General features: G+C 39.1%; 2 long non-coding RNA genes across 5 annotated transcripts in view, besides 1 other annotated feature; one reads left to right on the forward strand and one right to left on the reverse strand.

Annotated features, from left to right (window-relative positions):
• The window catches only part of LINC00301 (long intergenic non-protein coding RNA 301), a 71,399-nt gene extending 59,369 nt beyond the window's left edge, over positions 1–12,030 (forward strand). The window contains exon 7 of the long non-coding RNA NR_026946.1: positions 11,791–12,030. This is a non-coding gene — a long non-coding RNA (long intergenic non-protein coding RNA 301). The remainder of the gene's footprint in view (positions 1–11,790) is intronic.
• The window catches only part of LOC105369321 (uncharacterized), a 95,635-nt gene that overhangs the window by 66,825 nt on the left and 9,907 nt on the right, over positions 1–18,903 (reverse strand). For 3 of the 4 annotated variants that reach the window (XR_001748240.2, XR_950146.2, XR_950147.3), the window contains 2 exons: positions 2,506–2,535; positions 417–474 (listed from right to left, as the gene is read on the reverse strand). This is a non-coding gene — a long non-coding RNA (uncharacterized LOC105369321). Of the gene's footprint in view, positions 1–416; positions 475–2,505; positions 2,536–8,676; positions 8,752–18,903 lie in introns of those variants that run through there. The other variant, XR_950148.2, reaches the window with a different exon arrangement.
• Positions 8,879–8,928: an enhancer, noted in NCBI's record as "active region_4775". NCBI's record gives its function as "activates an Ori minimal core promoter by ATAC-STARR-seq in GM12878 lymphoblastoid cells {active_cell/tissue: GM12878}" and the evidence as "EXISTENCE:reporter gene assay evidence [ECO:0000049][PMID:35858748]".

Consider the following 18,903-nt stretch of genomic DNA (forward strand, 5'->3'; position numbering starts at 1 on the left):
CTATTACACCTTACTTTAGCAATTGTAATGAACAGCATAACTATTTGTGTGACTACACTTGGTATAATTCTATTAAGCATGGAGATTGCAACTTTTGCATTAAATGCAACCACATACAATTGGTCAAACGTAAGTACCAATTTTAATAATAATTAGATCAAAATTTTAATATAAATGAAAAATTATGGTGAATGATGTATGTTGAAGTGAGTAAGGCATAGAAAAGGCCACCAAATGTGTCAATTATCTTTGGCATAGAAATGTAAAGATAAACTGTATTTTCTCTATATTCTTGCTATAAGCACATTGAAAAATAAGTTTTTCTCAAAAATCGTGATGCACTATAAACCTCAAAGAGAGATTAAAATTATCGTTAAGATAAAATGATAGAATACTTAGAAACCCCAAAGACCTACCTGAAAAACAACTGCAGAAGTCAAACAGTTTAGAGAGGTGGCTGGACAAAAGAAAAACCTGCAAAAATTAATAGATTGTCTTTACACTAGAAATAACCACTTAAATATTGAAATTTTTAAAAAAATCAAAATAACAGCAAAACTATAAATGTTTAATAAGAAGCATTTTAAAAGGACTGAATACTTTGAAAAATTATGTTCTTGAATGCGAATTTACAAAATCATAAAATTGCAAGTTTCTGCAAATTAACACATAATTGTGATGCAATTCCATTTAGAATCTCAACAGCATTTCGGAAGTCATGCAATAAAATTACTCTAAAATGCATATAGATAGATGAATAATTGCATAAAAATGCCAAGAAAGTCTAGAAGTTACATAGTGATTGAGGAGGATCAGATAATTTGCTGCACTAGATATTAAAACTTGTTATTAGGCTATTATAATAAAAATAGTACAGTATTTACACACTAAAAGGAAAATTTAACTAAGCACAGAATAGAGAGTTGAAAAATAAATCTAAGTATAAGTGAACACATATTATTTTGTAGGTGATAACATGACCAGTCAATAGAGAAAAGATGAAATTGGAAAAAAACAGTATTAAATCAATAAGCTATTGATTTCCAAGAAAATAATAATGGACACCTACTTTGTACCACAAATAAAAATAAATCACAGATGAAGTATGTGTACATAAAAACCATTAAAATTAGCATAAAATATAGAACTAATATATTATTTACATAAGCAACAGAGAAAACCAAGAAGGAGGAAAGATAGAAAGACATTTTATGTCACAAATATTTGCACTTTTTATACAATACAGGCTGAGACAACAATAGCCTAAAGAGTTAAAATACTGCCCCAGTGGGCTGAGGGAGTGGGGTCCCCACCCCAGGGTGACAAAGAATAGGGCTGTCCCCTAGCTGACTCAGAAGACAGAACCACAGAGGATTATCCTCAGGCCTCAAAAATCTAACAAAATTTTCTCTATTGGGTTTTGGACTTGCTTAGGTCTGCTGCCCACTTCTTTCTTTCTTATTTTCTCTATTGGAAATCGAAATGACTATCCTCTGCCAGTCCCACCATTGTATTTTAGAAGTAGATTACTAGTTTTCTGGCTTCACAAGTCCACAGATAGTGAGGAATTTTTGCCCCAAGATGAATCATGCTATAAGTGATGATTTCTAGCATGAATCTAGATGCTATAACTGATTTAGATGATGAGATTTGAGGATTTTTGATTTTATAATATTTAGGAAAAGTTTGGACATAGAGTTGATTCTAGAGTGGGTTACAACTTTCGGAGATGTTGAAATTAGCTGAATATATTTTGCACATGGGAAGGACATGAATTGAGGGGAACTAGAGGCAGACTGTTATGGGTTGAATTGTGATACCGAAACATATATGTTGCAGTCCTAACCCATGGCACCTCAGAATGTGACATTTTGGGGGAATGGGATTATTCCAGGTATAATAAGCTAAATTAAGATGAGGTCATACAGGGGTAGGTAGGTCATTAATCCAGTATGATTGGTATTCTTATAAGAGAGAAATTTGGACATAGGTACATAAGGAAGATGGCACTGTGTATTAGTTCATTTTTACACTGCTATAAAGAACTGACTGAGACAGAGTAATTTATAAAGGAAAGAGGTTTAATTGACTCACAGTTTTGCATGGCTCGGGAGGTCTCACAAAACTTATAGTCATGACAGAAGGCAAAGGAGAAGCAAGTACCTTCTTCACAAGGAGGCAGGAGAGAGAGCAAAAGGGGAACAGCTACAGACTTTTAAACCACCATATCTCATGAGAACTCACTCACTACCATGAAACAGCATGGGGGAGCCACTCCCATGATCCAATTACCTCCCACCAGGTCCCTCCCTCAACACGTGGGGATTACAATTCGAGATGAGATTTGGGTGGGGACACAGAGCCAAACCATATTATTCCATCCCTGGCCCCTCCCAAACTTCATCTCCTGCTCACATTTCAAAACACAATCATGCCCTCCCAGCAGTCCTCCAAAGTCTTAACTCATTCCAGCATTAATTCAAAAGTCTAAGTTCAAAGTCTCACCTGAGACAAGGAAATTTCCTTCCACTGAGCCTGTAAAATCAAAAACAAGTTAGTTACTTCCAAGGTACAATGGGGGTACAAGCATTAGGTAAATGTTCCCATTCCAAATGGGACAAATTGGCCAAAACAAAGGGGCCACAGGTCCCATGCAAGTCTGAAACCCAGTAGGGCTGTTATTAAATTCTAAAGCTTCAAAATGATCTCCTTTGGCTCCATGTCTCACATCTGGGGTACACAGATGCAAGAGGTGGGCTCCCAAGGCCTTGGGCAGCTCCACCCCTGTGGCTCTGCAGGGTAAAGCCTCTGCAGCTGTTTTCATAGGCTGATGCTGAGTGCCTGCAGCTTTTCCAGGTGCGTTGTAGAGGCTGTCAGTGGATTTACCATTCTTGGGTCTGGAGAATGGTGGCCCTCTTCTCACGGGTCTAGTGGGCAGTGCCCCAGTGGGGACTCTGTGGGGGCCTCAACCCCACATTTCCCCTCTGCAGTGCCCTAGTAGAAGTTCTCCATGAGGGCTCCAACCCTGTCACAGCCTTCTTCCTGGACATCCAGGCATTTTCATACATCCTCTGAAATCTAGGTGGAGCCCACCAAGCCTCAACTCCTGACCTCGGTGCACCCACAGGCCCAACACCATGTGAAAGCCACCAAGGCTTGGGGCTTGCTCCCTCTGAAGCAACAGCCCAAGCTGTACCTTGGCCCCTTTTAGCCACAGCTGGAGCTGGTGTGGCTGGGAAGCAGGGCCCCAAGTCCCGAGACTGCACAGAGCAGCAGCAGGGGCCCTGGACCTGGGCCACAAAACCATTTTTTCCTCCTAGGCCTCCAGGCCTGTGATGGGAGGGGCTACAGTGAAGATGTTTGACATGCCCTGGAGACATTTTCCCCATTGTCTTGGCTATTAATATTTGGTTCCTTGTTACTTATGCAAATTTCTGCAGCTGGCTTGAATTTATCCCCAGAAAATGAGTTTTTCTTTTATACCATGTATCAGGCTGCAAATTTTCCAAATTTCTATGCTTTGCTTCCCTTTTAAACACAACTTCCAGTTTCAGATAATCTCTTTGCTCACACATATGTGAACACACCTCTAGAAAAAAACAGGTCACCTCTTAAACACTTTGCTGCTTAGAAATTTCTTCCACCAGATACCCTAAATCATCTCTCTCAAGTTCAAAGTTCCACAAATCTCTAGGGCAGGGCAAAATGCCACCAGTCTCTCTGCTAAAGCATAGCAAGACTGACCTTTGCTCCAGTTCCCAAAAAGTTCCTCATCTCCATCTGAAACCACCTCAGCCTGGACTTCATTGTCCATATCACTATCAGCATTTCAGTCAAAAGCATTCAACGAGTCTCTAGGAAGTTCCTAACTTTCCCACATCTTCCTGTCTTCTTTTAAGCCCTTCAAACTCTTCCAACTTCTGCCTATTTCCCAGTTCCAAAGTTGCTTCCACATTTTCAGGCTATCTTTATACCAGTACCCCACTCCTGGTACCAATTTCCTGTGTTAGTCCATTTTCACACTGCTATAAAGAGCTGCCTGAGACTGGGTAATTTATAAAGTAAAGAGGGTTAATTGGCTCACAGTTTCACATGGCTGGGGAAGCCTCAGGAAATGTACAATCATGGCGGAAGGCAAAGGAGAAACAAGTACCTTCTTCAAAAGGAAGCAGGAGAGAGAGAGTAAAGGGGGAACTTCCACAGACTTTTCAACCATCAAGTCTCATGAGAACTCACTCACTATCATGAGAACAGCATGGGTGAAACTGCCCCCATGATCTAATCACCTCCCACCAGATCCCCCCTCAACACATGGGGATTACAGTTTGAAATGAGATTTAAGTGGGGACACAGAGATGAACCATATCACCATCTGAACATAGAGGCAGAGATAGGAGTTATACTATTACAAGTCAAAAACACCTGGGGCTACCAGAACCTGGATGAGACAAGGGAGGATTCTCTCCTATATGCCTTAGAAAGAGCATGATCCTGCCAATACATTTATTTTGAACTTTTGGCATCCAGACCCATAAAACAATAAACTTCTGTTGTGTTAAGCCACCCAGTTTGTGGTACTTTATTATATTGCCCTAGGAAATGAATACATGAGGACAATATGTAAGTACTCAATAAATTTAAAACATACTTAGTTGTTATGAAAATACCCAAAAATAATCATAATTGTGTGAGACTGCTAGGATGAATATTTACTCCTGATTTTCTAAATGTTGATCTTATATAATTTTAAATGGTTAATTAATATGAAGATTTTTTTATTCAGATGGTTGGTATGATGCTTTTACAATATTTACTACTCTGCACCATCTTAGAGATGACCATTGTAATCATAATCATCCAGTGGGTTGTAAGAGCATTTCATCATGAAAAACACACTGAAGAAAGTGAGTAACTTTGTTTCTGGCAGTCAAATCAAGATAAAGGCAGTTTATAATAAGGGCCCTCTCTGAGAGTTCAAAGTTTAGACTTGGTGAACAGGAGTGTTGCTTCAGAAGTAAGGTCAAGTGTATCTGAAAACATGCTGAAATATCTTCTGCTTGATATTGTGTGGAATTGAAGTCAAACAACTTGCCCTGGCAAAACTATGTAGAAGTCTTTTAGACTTACATCTCCCAGGAGATTAACAGAGGAAATATATAGACTAAAAGGGTTTCAGAGATCATACTTGTGATATGGGGATACTGACTGCTATAAACCCAAAAATTCAAATTTAGTTCTGAAATGTTGGTTTCCAACATTTGGAATATCAAATGCCTTCAGAAAATAAACATTTTAGAGGACACTGAAAAGAGTACTTCTAGAATAGAACAGTAAGAACCTCCAAAAACCCATCTCTCAATAAAAGCAATGAGAATACTGAAAAATTTGTCAAAATCAACTTTTTCAGAACTTTGGAAATTAGTCAAAGACCTATGAAAATCCAATAAGCATTTATTCAAGTTAAATGGCCAAATCATGGTAAGAACAGTGAGCTCTATGGTATTGCAGCGTGCCCTATTCCCATCCGTCTTACCCTATCTCCTCAGTAGCCTTTAAAAGTAACAGCCTTGCAACCATAGTACCTGTGGGAAAAAACGGCCTAACAACAACAGGAAAGGATAAAATAGGATTTAAGTGCCCCAAAAAAGCCCCATTCTCAGAGAATTGTTGTTAACTTGTCTGGCAGCTCCCCAGACATCCCCACTGGCAAGACTCTTTAATTTGATTTCATTCAGAACTCAGTCACTGTAAACAGCTTTTCTTTCTGGGATATTTGTCAGAACAATCAATAGCATTTAACAACACAGCTGCCTGAGGCAGAGATAACAGTTGTGCCAAACAAAAGGTCACATTTTAAAAAAAAATCTGAGCAGTAAGATGTCCATAGAGTATTTTGAAATTATGACAATATCTGGAAACATAAAAGGTCACATGCATATGCTGGGATGTGTACATGCCAAGAAAAGACCTGAAAAATGTCCTAACCTCCCACCTCTGGCTGACCTGAAGAAAATCCAATTCAACCATTCAAGTTAAATGGCCGAATCATGGTAAGAACAGTGAGCTTTGTGGTATTGTAACTTGTCCTATTCCCATCCCTCACAACCCATCTCCTGCTTTTATGATAAAAGCAGGAAGTGATAGCTAAGGCAGAGTTGCAAACTCTCCCAGAGCTTTAAAACCTTACCCCAACACAAACACATGCAAACACGCACACACACAATCTCTCAGCAAAGTCTAGGAAACTTACTGGTTCAAAAGAATTAAGGAAATCTTTGTCCAATCACTAGCTGACCACTAAGTTAACAAAGCAGAATAACAAAGACAATGATAAAACCAACCCCTAGAGGGCTATGATTTACAATGTTGCCACACTATATTATTTTAAATGTTCAATTTTTAACAAGTAAAAATATAAAATATGCAAGGAAACAGAGAAGTATGGCTTAAATACAGGAGAAAAAAACAGTCAATAAAAATTTTCCCCAAAGAAGTCTAAATGTTGAGGTTACTAGAAAAAAAAGGTATTTTAACTCAGCAAGTATAAATAAGTATAAAGAACTTTTAAAAACCATGTCTAAAAAAACTAAAAGTATGAACGCAATGTCTCACCAAAAAGAGAATATTAATAGTGACATAAAATAGGAACTATTTTTCCAAAAGAACCAAATAGAAATTGTAGAGCAGAAAATTATAATAACTAAAATGAAAATTTTACTCAAGGGTCTCAACAGAAAATTTGAGCTGGCAGAAGAAATAATCCACAAACTTGACAGTAGGTCAATTGGAATTACCTAATCTATGAAACAGAATGAAGAAAAAAGAACAGAGCTTCAGACACCTTTGAAACATCAGCAAGCATACCAAAATGTGCATAATGGTGAACACATAAGGAAAGAAGAGAGAAAGAAATAAAAAAATGGCACAGTGAGTTTGTGAAGAAATATTGGAAAATGTATAGCTGTAAAGACTATATTTTGAATAAGTATCTGAAATCAAAAACCCAACTTTCCCCCTTAAAAAATCAGGAAAAGAAAACTAAACCTAAAGTGAAAATAATAAAGACTAGAGTAGAACTAAATGAAATAGAAGATAGGAAAACAATAGAGAAAAACAATAAAACCAGAAGTTCCTTCTTTAAAAAGAATCCCAAAATAACAAACCATTAACCACACTGACCAAGAAAAAAAGAAAGAAGACTTAATTTACTATAATTATAAAGAAAGAACATTACTGACAATGTTATAGAAGTAAAAATATTGAACAATCATATGGCAACAAATTAGATAACCTACATAAAATGGACAAATTTCTAGAAATACAGACATGACTGAAACTGACTCAAGAAGAAATAGAAATCTAAGTACACCTATCACAAGTTAAAGAATCAAATTAATAATCAAAAACTTTCCATAAAGAATAGCCCAGTCTCAGATAGCTACATTGTGAACTCTACCAAAGGTTTAAAGCATTAATACTAGTTATTCACAAACTTTTTCCCAAAAAAAAGAGGAGGAATAAATACTTCCTAACTCATTCTATAAGGCTAACACTAGTTTGGTACTAAAATAAAACAAAGACATTATAATAAAAGGAAACTATAGACTAATATCCATTATGAATATAGATGCATAAATCCTCAAAAACTATTAACAAATGGAATCTAGCAACATACAAAAAGTATTATATATCATGACCAGTTAGGATTTATCCTAAGAGTACAGAGCTGGTTCAATATATGAAAACTAATCAATGTATTCCACCTTACTAATAGAATAAAAGCCAGAAACCACATGATCACCTCAAAAGACATAGAAGAAGCATTTAAGAAAATTGAACACCCTTTTATGATTAAAAAAGTTGAAAAACTAGGAATAGAATGGAATTTTCTCAACCTAAATATGGGCGTTTATTAAAAATTTATAGTTAACATAATACTTGATAAAGAGACACTGAATCATTTTCTTCTTAAGATAAGAAACAAGATATCTTGTCACTTACATTCAACATTGTATTGTAGGTTCTATCCAGGAAAATCAGGCAATAAAAAATAAAGAATTTAGTTTAATCAAGGAAAAATTAAAACTAACACTCTTTACAAATGACATTATCTGATCTCGTATAAAATGCTAAAAAAATCCATAAAAATCTAGTCGAACTAATAAATAAGTTTAACAAAATGGCAGAATACATGGCCAATATACAGAAACCAACTGTATTTTTGTATACAAAAACACAGTTACAGTAACATCAAAAGGAATAAATATACATATACTTCACATTCAGGAATAAATTTTTAAAAAGAAGTGCGAGACTTGTCTACCACAAACTCTAAAACATTATTGAAAGAAATTTAAGAAGATACAAACAAATGAAAAGACATCCCATGTTCATTGATAAAAGACAATATTTGAAGACAATATTATGATGGTAATACTCCCCAACCAATTTAACACAACCCCTGTTAAATTACAGCTGGCATTTTTCAGAAATTGACAAGCTTATCCTAACATTCATATGAACATGGAAAAGACCCAAAATAGTCAAACCAATATTAAAAAAGAAAAACAAAGTAGGAGGTGTTAGGTTTTGAAGGGAAGGTAAGGGTTAAAGAAAGACACACACACACACACACACACACACACACACACACACACACACATATAAAAAGGGCACCTCAGCAGCAAATGCAGGCTTTACATCCAGCATAAAACCTACAGAAGTGGGGAACCAGTGTAATGCCAGAGCCCACCGCTGCTTATAGCCTGGGGGTACTTATAGGTATGGGTGGGAGGGGTCTAGGCAGTACGGCTTGCTACCCAGCAGGATATTGATAAGATGTTCCCATGATGAGGTGGTTCTGGCCCTTGGTTTGGCAGAATGTCATTATGGTGTTCCTTGGACCTTTGCCCAGCAAGATATAATAGGGATGTTTCTTTAGTTGGGCCTTTGTCTGCCTTGTGGTCATGTGGTTAGGCAGAATGTTTCTCACGGCCCGAACTCCTGTGAAATGTTTCACTTTGACCAAGGTCTGCAAAATAGCAGAGAATTTACAAAATGGTGCAGTTTGGACTAACAGGAAGGCTCGCACTTCCTAGTTTCAAAAGTTACTAAAAAATTACAGTAATCAAGAAATTGTGGTGTAGCAGGATGAGCCGTGGACAAAACTCCACAGACACTGAGAAAGTGAAGGAAGTAGCTTTAATCAGCTGGAAGCATCGGCAGACTAGCGTCTTAAAATCCAAGCTTGTTGAGTGCACAATTTCTGTCCCTTTTTTTTTTTTAGCGCTCACAATACTAAAGGTTTCGCATGAAAGGGTTGTGATTGATTGAGCAGTCTAGGGTGGTACCGGACAGGGGCTGCAGCTACATGCACCAGTAATCAGAGTGAAACAGAACAGAATGGAAAATTTGTTGTATGTCCTTCCACACAATGTCTGGAATCTATGGATAACATCAGTTGCTAAGTCATGGGTTGAATTTTAACCATCAGGCTAAGGTCAGGCAGGCCCAGGCCTGGTTTTGGGTCTGGTTTTGGGTCTGGTGCCTGGCGCCAGGCTGCCTGCCTTTGGTTTCGCTTCCTTGTTTCTTCTTAAAACAGGTACTGAGTATAAAACAGTATAGAACAATATGGGGGGGTCTCTTTCTTTCTTCTCTCAGTGATACTGCCATAATGATAGACATAAAAATCAGTAGAATAGGATCAAAAACCCAAAAATAAGTTCATACGTAGCTACTTGATTTTTGACTAGCATGACAAGACAATTCAATGGAGAAATAGTGGTCTCTTCAACAAATGGTGCCAGGACAACTGGATATCTGCATACAAAAGAATGAAGTTAGACCACTACCTCACAGAATATACACAAATTAACTAAAAATGCATAGACCTAGATTTAAGAGCTAACATTACAAAACTCTTAGAAGAAAATACAGGCATAATTATTTCTGGCCTGAATTAGTTAATGGTATATTAGCTATCACACCAAAAGCATATTTAACAAAAGAAAAATCATAGATAAATTGACCAAGGGAAGAAAACTACAGACCAACATGTCTGATGACTACGGATACAAAAATCTTCAAAAAAAAAACTAGCAAACCAAATCTAGCAACATATAAATATGATTATACAACAGGGTCAAGTGAGATTTATTACAGGAATTCAAAGTTAGTTTAACATACCAAAATCAATCAATGCAATATATTTCATTAAAATAATAAAGGGCAAAAACATGCTCACTAAACAAAGTGATGAAAGGAAATAGATTGTAATGGCTGATGATTTTATCTCCTTACTTATCTATCTTCCCTAAATCCTTTCAAAATAGATAATTAATTCCAAAAACAAAAATCTGTAGTTTGGTGTCAACCTAAAACTCTGTCAGGAGCCAAAGGAATGGCTTGTTTGTGGAATTCCTGTAGGATAATATGTGGGGGATCATGGCAGGAAATGAGGCTGTAGAAGTACCTTGAGACCAGATCTTAATGGGGCTTAACTATACCTTATTAAAGAATTTTGAATTTAGTCTATAGATACCAGGGTGCTCTTGCAGGGTTTTTAACAACAGTGTTTCTTGATCAAACTTTTCATTTATATAATTATTTTCATTAGAATATTTCCTGCAGCAAGTTACAGCCCTTCCCCCCTACCCTCAACTCAAACTGCTAAATCAATCAGGAATCATCTCATGATCATAAGACGGCTTAGGCAGCATAATTTCCGGTTCACATCCAGCAGGAGAAACTGGCCTTTCTCAGAAGCTACAAGGAGACCTCTCTTTACTTCACTTGGCTTAATTGCCTCAGATCTGCTAATCTCTGAGTTGAGTAATAGCAAAGGGAATAGGATTACCATGAAGGATTCAGACAAATCATTTGTAGCAGGATAATTTTGAGGGAGTCAACCAGTGTCCTCAGTCATTCTGGGAGGAAAATAGAGATAGAGATAGGAAAAAGAAGAACAAAGCTAGAGATGAATATAATTAGCTGGTTGCCCCAACAGGCAAGCCAAACAATGAGTACCTAAACCTAAACAATGAAGAATAAAGAGAAGATGATAAATTTGAAAGATATTTAGGAGGCTTATTAATGTCTTGTATGTTCGTTTCACACTCAATGTTAAATCTTAGATTAAATAAAATTAGTTTAATAAACTGCTTATCCCTTATTTCTATTTCCCATACTGCTCAATAACTATTGAACATAGCTTTAAATACTAACCTGTATTTTACTTGATTAGGAAACTATTTTTTAAATCATGTATTTTCAGTTTTGTGTGTATGCGCTTATACGATATAATATTCTGCTGTGAACTTAAAAACAAAATAGAAAAACAGAGGTTTACTCAAGAAAAGAATGACACTGTTCCCATTAGAATGGCTTCTACAGTGGCTCCCAAAAATCCTGTAGTATGAGCCAGATGGCTCTCCGCTCCAATGGTTGTTCTCTTCTGATCTAGAATATGAAGTAGAGTACCCAAGAGGAATCAGGACTCACCAGAGTCCAGTTAAAATCATTTTAAGAAGAATAATTTAGTTTAATATGTTTGTTGTAGTTCATTGAAACCTCTGGTATCTGATGAGTTATAGGTCTGATATGCCTTTGGCTAGGCCCCCCAGAACTGAGTAGGTACTGTCTTCTCAGTACACTTTTAACTAACCACATTCCAGGTTTACATATTTGTTCATTTTTTGTTGTTGTTTTGTCTTACTTTAACTCAATGTCTCAGGATAAGGCTTTTATTTTAGACTGTAATAATGATCAATTTGCTATCTCAATTCATCTCAGGCACTTTGCCCTCGGAAATCTCACTGTCGGAATCCTTGGAAATCACACCACGCACAACTTCTATTTCTTCATAATTTGCAAAGAACCAGTGTGACTCCAGTCAAGAACAAAAGATTAATTGTGAATTAGCGAAGAACTCTAATTTTTTCAAGCAGCCACATGGAAAACGCATTCTAATGAAATCCTTTCCATTGCTCTTTTTTCTTAGTTCTTCAATAAAGCATGCGATTTGATCACAAATTGACTCTTCCCTTTTTAAAAGCCAGTATGGGTTAACACGGATAAATATAGCCCCTGCAATCCCTGTGGTTGAAGGGATGTAGGAGAGTAGTGTTGAATGCCCACTTTATCTTAGGTTGGAGGAGATTGGCTTGAATTAAGGAACTCCTTCATCCAAGAGGAGAAAATACTCTGATTTTGGAAGTTGGCATAATGTTCATGTGATAATGTCAATACTCTTGCTCTCTCTGTACTTTTGTTTTCTCATCTGTAAAACAGAAATAATAGTCTCTAACCCACAGAGTAGATGGGAGGATTAAATGACAATATATCATTAAAAGAGCTTACAACAGCTCCTAACTCATAGTTGTCCCTCAATAAGTTTTTATTATTTATTATTTATCAGCTCTTATCATTGTATCAGTAGCATAATGATATATGAAGCCAGATTGAATTTTTCTTGTTTTCCAAGAATTGGTGACTAGAACCTCCCTCTGAAAGCAGATGTACTGAAATGAGGCCACAAAACTACTTAAAATCTTGATGAAAATGTTATGTATTGAGTTGTGTCCCCCTCAAAAAAATATATTGAGGTCCTAATCCCCAGTACTCAGAATATGACCTAATTTAGAAGTAGGGTCTTTAAATAACCAATCGAATTAAAATGAAGTCATTAGGAGAGAGTCTAATCCAATATCACTGGTTTCCTTATAAAAAGAGAAAATTGGGCCAGGCGCAGTGGCTCACGCCTGTAATCCCAACACTTTGGGAGGCCGAGGCAGGTGGATTGCTTGAGGTCAGGAGTTCAAGACTAGCCTGACCAACATGGTGAAATCCTGTCTCTACTAAAAATACAAAAATTAGCCGGGCATAGTGGTGCGCACCTGTAATCCCACCTACTCGGGAGGCTGAGGCAGGAGAATCACTTGAACCCAGGAGGCAGAGATTGTGATGAGACTAGATCGCACCATTGCACTCCAGCCTGGGCGACAGAGTGAGACTCTCATCTCAAAACAAAGAAAAGGGGAAATTAGACACAGACACAGATATGCACAGAGGGAAAACGATGTGAAGACACACAAAGAGAAAACCATGTAAAGATGAAGGATTGGGTGATGCATCGACAAGCCAAGAAGTGCCAAAGATTTCTAGCAAATCAGGAGGACGTCAGGAAGGATCCTTCTCCTCCAGGTTTCTGAGGGAGCATGACCCTGAGAGCACCTTGATTTTGGACTTCCAACCTCCAGAACAGTGAGATAATAAATTTCTCATTTTAACACCTTGTTTTAACCACTCGTTTTAACCACTCGTTTTAACACCTTGTTACATTAGCTCGGGGAAACTAATGCAGGTGGCTTTTCACTATAAGGGGCACTAGATTTCCCCCACCCCATGGAACATGTTAGGTGTTTATGAAAGCAGGTTATCCTCTCACCTCAGCATTCCACAGTAGGAGTGCAGCATTCGAACGGCTCTACTCTCTGAAGCTCGGGGAGAGAAGAAGCAGCTGTAAAGTGTGTGGCTGTTTACAGGAAGCATCCCACTCCCCAACGATAGTCTTTGGGACCCAGGTGGGACTTGCTGACCTGATCTAGAAAAGCCAGAGCAAAAGCCAGCAATGTTAAAAAGAAGGCATGGTATAGGAGCCTGCAGAGAGGGACCATGGACCACTCCTAAAAGTCGGAGCTTGCAAGAGGTAAAAAAGAAAGATACCTATCACCACTGCCTGCAGGCCCCAACCCTGGAACACTAGAGGGAAATGAGACTGGAAGCCTCAGGTTACCTGAGAATTGCTGTAGCATGGGGAGCAAGGCATATGAAAGCACTTCAGCAAAATGCTGCCAATGGAGGGTCAGTACGAAGGTGTAGCCAAATTACCAAAGAAGCACTAATGCCTAGGAGAGAGCTTCTCAGAATTGAGTGGCTCTTAACTGTGGCCAGTAGAAGCTTCCACATACCTGCCTAGGTTAGGAATATAATCCACAGAAAGAGAACTATATTCTGACATGGGAGCTCATTTAATTTCATTTAATTTTTTTAAAATAAAGGTTTTTTTATATGTATAAAATTTGTCATTTTATAGGCATATTTTAAATGTGGATATTTTAATTTATATCATAATTGTATAATTTATATGCATATTTTAAATGTGCATATTTTGTAACATAATTTTTAAAGCCTCTGCTGTGAACATTACATATTGAATGTATATGTTTGGGTTGTCTGTTGTTTTTCAGTCTTATTCTGATGTTATCTCCAGGAGTCCACCATACAATTTCTCCAGAGCCTCTGTTACATCTATCTTCTTCCAATCCATCCTTGATACACTTTTAAAGATAACAGCACCCAAGATCATGTTAAGTACTAGAGACTGAACATATATCTCTACAGATAGTGGGATCTCTCATAGTTCAAACTTTGTGTGGGATAGTTTTCTAATTCCCCATTCCATGTAATAACAAAAGAAATTAATACTGTATTTGCCCTGGTTAATTATGAGACTATTTCTCACTTTTTCTACTTCAGCACTCTGTAATTGGCCTCAGCCTGTTCTGCCTACACAGATTAACATTATATCCTCCTTCCTCCTATATTAGATGAATAAGTCTGTTCTTTTATTATCTCATTCTATTCTTTATTATTTATAATAGTAATTCCCATTAATACCTCTGCTCTTTCTTTTTTATATATTTTTTGTACATATGACTTCTGATCTTTTTCTCTTACATACAAAGTATTATTATAAAAATGTACAGGCATATCTAATTATTATGTATTTCAGTATATTCAGGTCTGACATTTTATATAATAAAATGGATATTTTATAATAAATTTACTTGCCCTTTATATTACAGTTAAGCATTATATTGATCTCTTAAATTATGTAGATCTCATTATTTGTAGTTTGTATCTCAGGATATGAAAAATATTAACTCTACATTTATTTTACTGAGAAATTTTTAAACCATCTAGATTTTGACTAAAAGTCTTAGTACAGACTTTTAATTCCATCCAATGTGAAATAACTGATATCAGATATACTGAAACTAGCTACAAAAACTGGGGAAAATGCATAAAACATCAATTTTTAGGCACTGTACAAAAACCAACAGAAGGTTTCCATTCTTTGGAAATGGGAAACATACAAGGTGAGCCCCCACATTCACCCAGACTTCCCCTTGGGAACATTTTCCAGGCCATGTGGTAGGAACGTAGAACCCAAATAGTTACAGTGGTCTTGCTGGATGGAAGCAGAGATTAAGTTTGAAACTGCTAAAGTAGCTGGAATTCGATGGGCATACCTACAGAGATAGGGAAGCTACTGAACAGATACCTCAGAAGTCTACAAAGAAATTTTCCTTAGGTCCTTAGCTGAATCCTGGCCATATCCTTTAATACAACTTCAGAAGGCCTAACAGAAAGTAAATTCCTGGCCGGGTGTGGTGGCTCACGCCTGTAATCACAGCACTTTGTAAGGGAGGCCGAAGAGGGCAGATCACTTGAGGTCAGGGGTTTGAGACCAGCCTGGCCAACATAGTAAAACCCCATCTCTACTAAAAACACAAAAATTACTCAGGCATGGTGGTGGGCGCCTGTAGTCCCAGCTACTCAGGTGGCTGAGGCAGAAGAATCACTTGAAACAGGAGACGGAGGTTGCAGTGAGCCGAGATCCTGCCACTGCAGACCAGCCTGGGTGACAGAGCAAGACCCTGTCTTAAAAAAAAAAAAAAAAAGAAAAAAAAAAGGAAGTAAATTCCAGGGAGACTGAGAGCTGAGCATGGATTCTTGATCCTACACAGTGTGGTGAGTGGTGAAGTGCAGGCGCAGCCAAAAGAGAGAAACCTTCTTGATCATCCCTGACATTCAAAGGATACTCCAGAGATGCTACAGCTTCTAATTAAGAACGATGAACTAGGAGTACAGGCTACACCTTGGAATAAGAAAAAGGGAGAAAAAGACGCACCCTAACAAAGCCTAAAATCAGGATGCAAGATGATCTGCAAAAATGTAATTGCTGGTGTGCCTCCTCCAAGGAGAGGAAAGAGAATAGTACCCAGATCCTCACATTTTGAACAGATCATCTAGGAAAGAACACTTGGATACAGCAGAGAACAGACGAGAAACACCAGCAGTAAGAAAGGACATGGTGTGAGGAAGCTTGCCCAGCCAGGAACTGACCAAGAGCCAAGAGAGGCTCCTGGACCTAGGGAAACAGGAAGAGAGAAACCCCTAGAACTCCAAAATGGGCTTTTATGATCTTGGCTATGGGAGAAACCCTGTAGTGGATTCACGACAGCATCAGGCCTGGCATATGGAGCTTCCTAAAGATTGCACAGAGATGTTGCCCCAGAAAGGGAACCCACACAGAATCCCACAAGCTTCAGCACCCAGAGCAGCCTCAGCTGGGAGCCATTTTGAGAGCCTGGATACCGGGTATCTACAGACACAGCTGCTGCCACTGAGCAGCTCCAAGGAGGGAGAGGGAAGAACAGGTGCTCCCATGCACCAATGAGAGGGTACCTGCCGCCCTGCTATGGGCTGCAGTTGAGACTGAGACATAAATGAGCCACGTTCCCCACAGCTTCTTGCTCACACTGCTTGCCTGGGAGATGCCCCACCGTCTCTGGTCTAAACCCCAAGGCACCATCTTAAGAGTTGAGTGCTGGACTGTGCCCTGCCCTTGGGCTGAGGTCAAACTAACACAATTACAGCTGCTGCCTAGCCAAGGAGTGACGGGGAAACCAGGCTATCTCATGCAAATATAGGACAATACCCACTGATCTGCAACAGGCTGCTGTGAGACTGAGACGTGAGGGGATGACACTCCCCACAGCTTCTTACATATGCTTCTTGCCTAGGAGGGACCCCACCCTCCCTGGCCACAGGCCTAAGGTGCCATTTTGAGAGTTTAATGCTGGGCTATGCCCCACGGTCAGGCCAAATTCAAGTTGACATGGCTGCAACTACTGCCCAGTCAAGGAGGGATAGGGCAGCCAGGCTTTCCGACGCATACCTAGGACAATATTCAATGCCCTGCCATAGGCTGCTGCAAGACCAACACTCAAGCGAACCACACTTCTCACAGAGTCTTGCCCATACTGTTCGCCTGAGAAGGGCCTGACCCTCTCTGGTCACAAGCCCACAGCTGGCACTATTTTGAGAGTTTAACACTAAGCTGTGCCCCACCCTTGGGCCAAGGTCAAGGTGACACAACAGCAGTCGCCACCCAACTGAGAGAGAGACAAGGAAGACCAAGGTCTCCAAAGCACACTTAGAACAATACCCACTGCCCTGCTAAAGGCAGCTGTGGGACCAGGGAGTAACCCACCCAATCCATTGCAGCTTCCAGCAACACCAACACAGATGGCATGGGTCACTGTGGTTTCCTCCACCACTGCTACTGCCACACCACGCCAGCTTCCCAGGGGCCTGAGACTCCACCCACACACCAGGCCCACTGCTCCCACTGCCCACTTCTAAGCAAGCAGCTTGGAGGCCCAAGAATGAGCCCTCTAGGACCGCTAACACAAGGGCCAGTATAAGCCACTCTGGAGCCTTAAAACAGGCTCGCTCACCCCAATGCTGCCACTACTCGGGCCCAAAGACTGGCTCAGTTGGTGTATTAGTTTGTTCTCACACTGCTATAGAGAAATACCTGATGGCCAGGCACAGTATTTGGGAGGGTGAGGCAGACAGATCACTTGAGGCCAGGAGTTTGAGACCAGCCTGGACAACATGGTGAAACCCTGTCTCTACTAAAATACAAAAATTAGATGGGTGTGGTGGTGCACACCTGTAATTCCAGCTACTTGGGAGGCTGAGGCATGAGAATCACTTGAACCTGGAAGGCGGAGGCTGCAGTGAGCTGAGATCGCAACACTGCACTCCAGCCTGGGTGACAGAGTGAGACCCTGTCTAAAAAAAAAAAAGAAGAAAGAAAGAGAGAGAGGGAGAGAGAGAAAGAAAGAGAGAAAGAGAGAAAGGAAGGAAGGAAGGAAGAGAAAGAAAAAAAGAAAGAAAGAAAGAGAAAGGAAAGAAAGAAAGAAAGAAAGAAAGAAAGAAAGAAAGAAAGAAAGAAAGAAGGAAAGAAAAAGAAAGAAAGAAAGAAAGAAAGAAAGAAAGAAAGAAAGAAAGAAAGAAAGAAAGAAAGAAAGAAAGAAAGAAAGAAAAAGAAAGAGAAAGAAAGAAAGAAAGGAAAGACCTGAGACTGGGTAATTTAAAAGAAAATAGGTTTAATTGCCTGGTGGTTCCACGGACTGTACAGGAAGCATGGCAGCATATGCTTCTGCAGAGGCCTCAGGGAGCTTTTCCTCATGACAGAAGGCAACATGGGAACAGGCATCTTACATGGTAGGAGCAGAACCGAGGCGGGGGGGTGCCCCACACTTTTAAACAACCAGATATCACACAAACTCACTCACTATTGTGACACAGTACCAAGGGGAAAATCTGCTCCTGTGATTCAATCGCCTGTCACCAGGCCCCACCTCCAACACTGGGGATTGCAATTCAACATGAGATTTGGGCAGGGACACAGACCAAAACCACATCAGTTGGCATCTAAGTCCCCAGCTAAAAGTCACCACAACCTTAACTGTACCATAAGTCACCAAGGCAATCCCAGAGACCACTGACTTTGTGTACTGCGAAAGAAGTCAAACAAAGATCACACTACTGCCAGCATGCAAAATCAAAGTCGAAGTATCTTAATCAACAACACGTACACAACCTCAGAAAAAAAAAAAAAATTCCCCTACCAAAGCAATTTCAAAAAATTGGAACAAGCAACTGCTACACTAGATGCAAAGACATCAATGGAAAAACACAGGAAGCATGAAAAAGCAGGGAAATGGGATATCATCAAAGGACCATAATTGTCCAGCAACAGATTCC

The sequence above is a fragment of the Homo sapiens genome, chromosome 11 (assembly GCF_000001405.40).
Source record: "Homo sapiens chromosome 11, GRCh38.p14 Primary Assembly".
Classification (NCBI taxonomy): domain Eukaryota; kingdom Metazoa; phylum Chordata; class Mammalia; order Primates; family Hominidae; genus Homo; species Homo sapiens.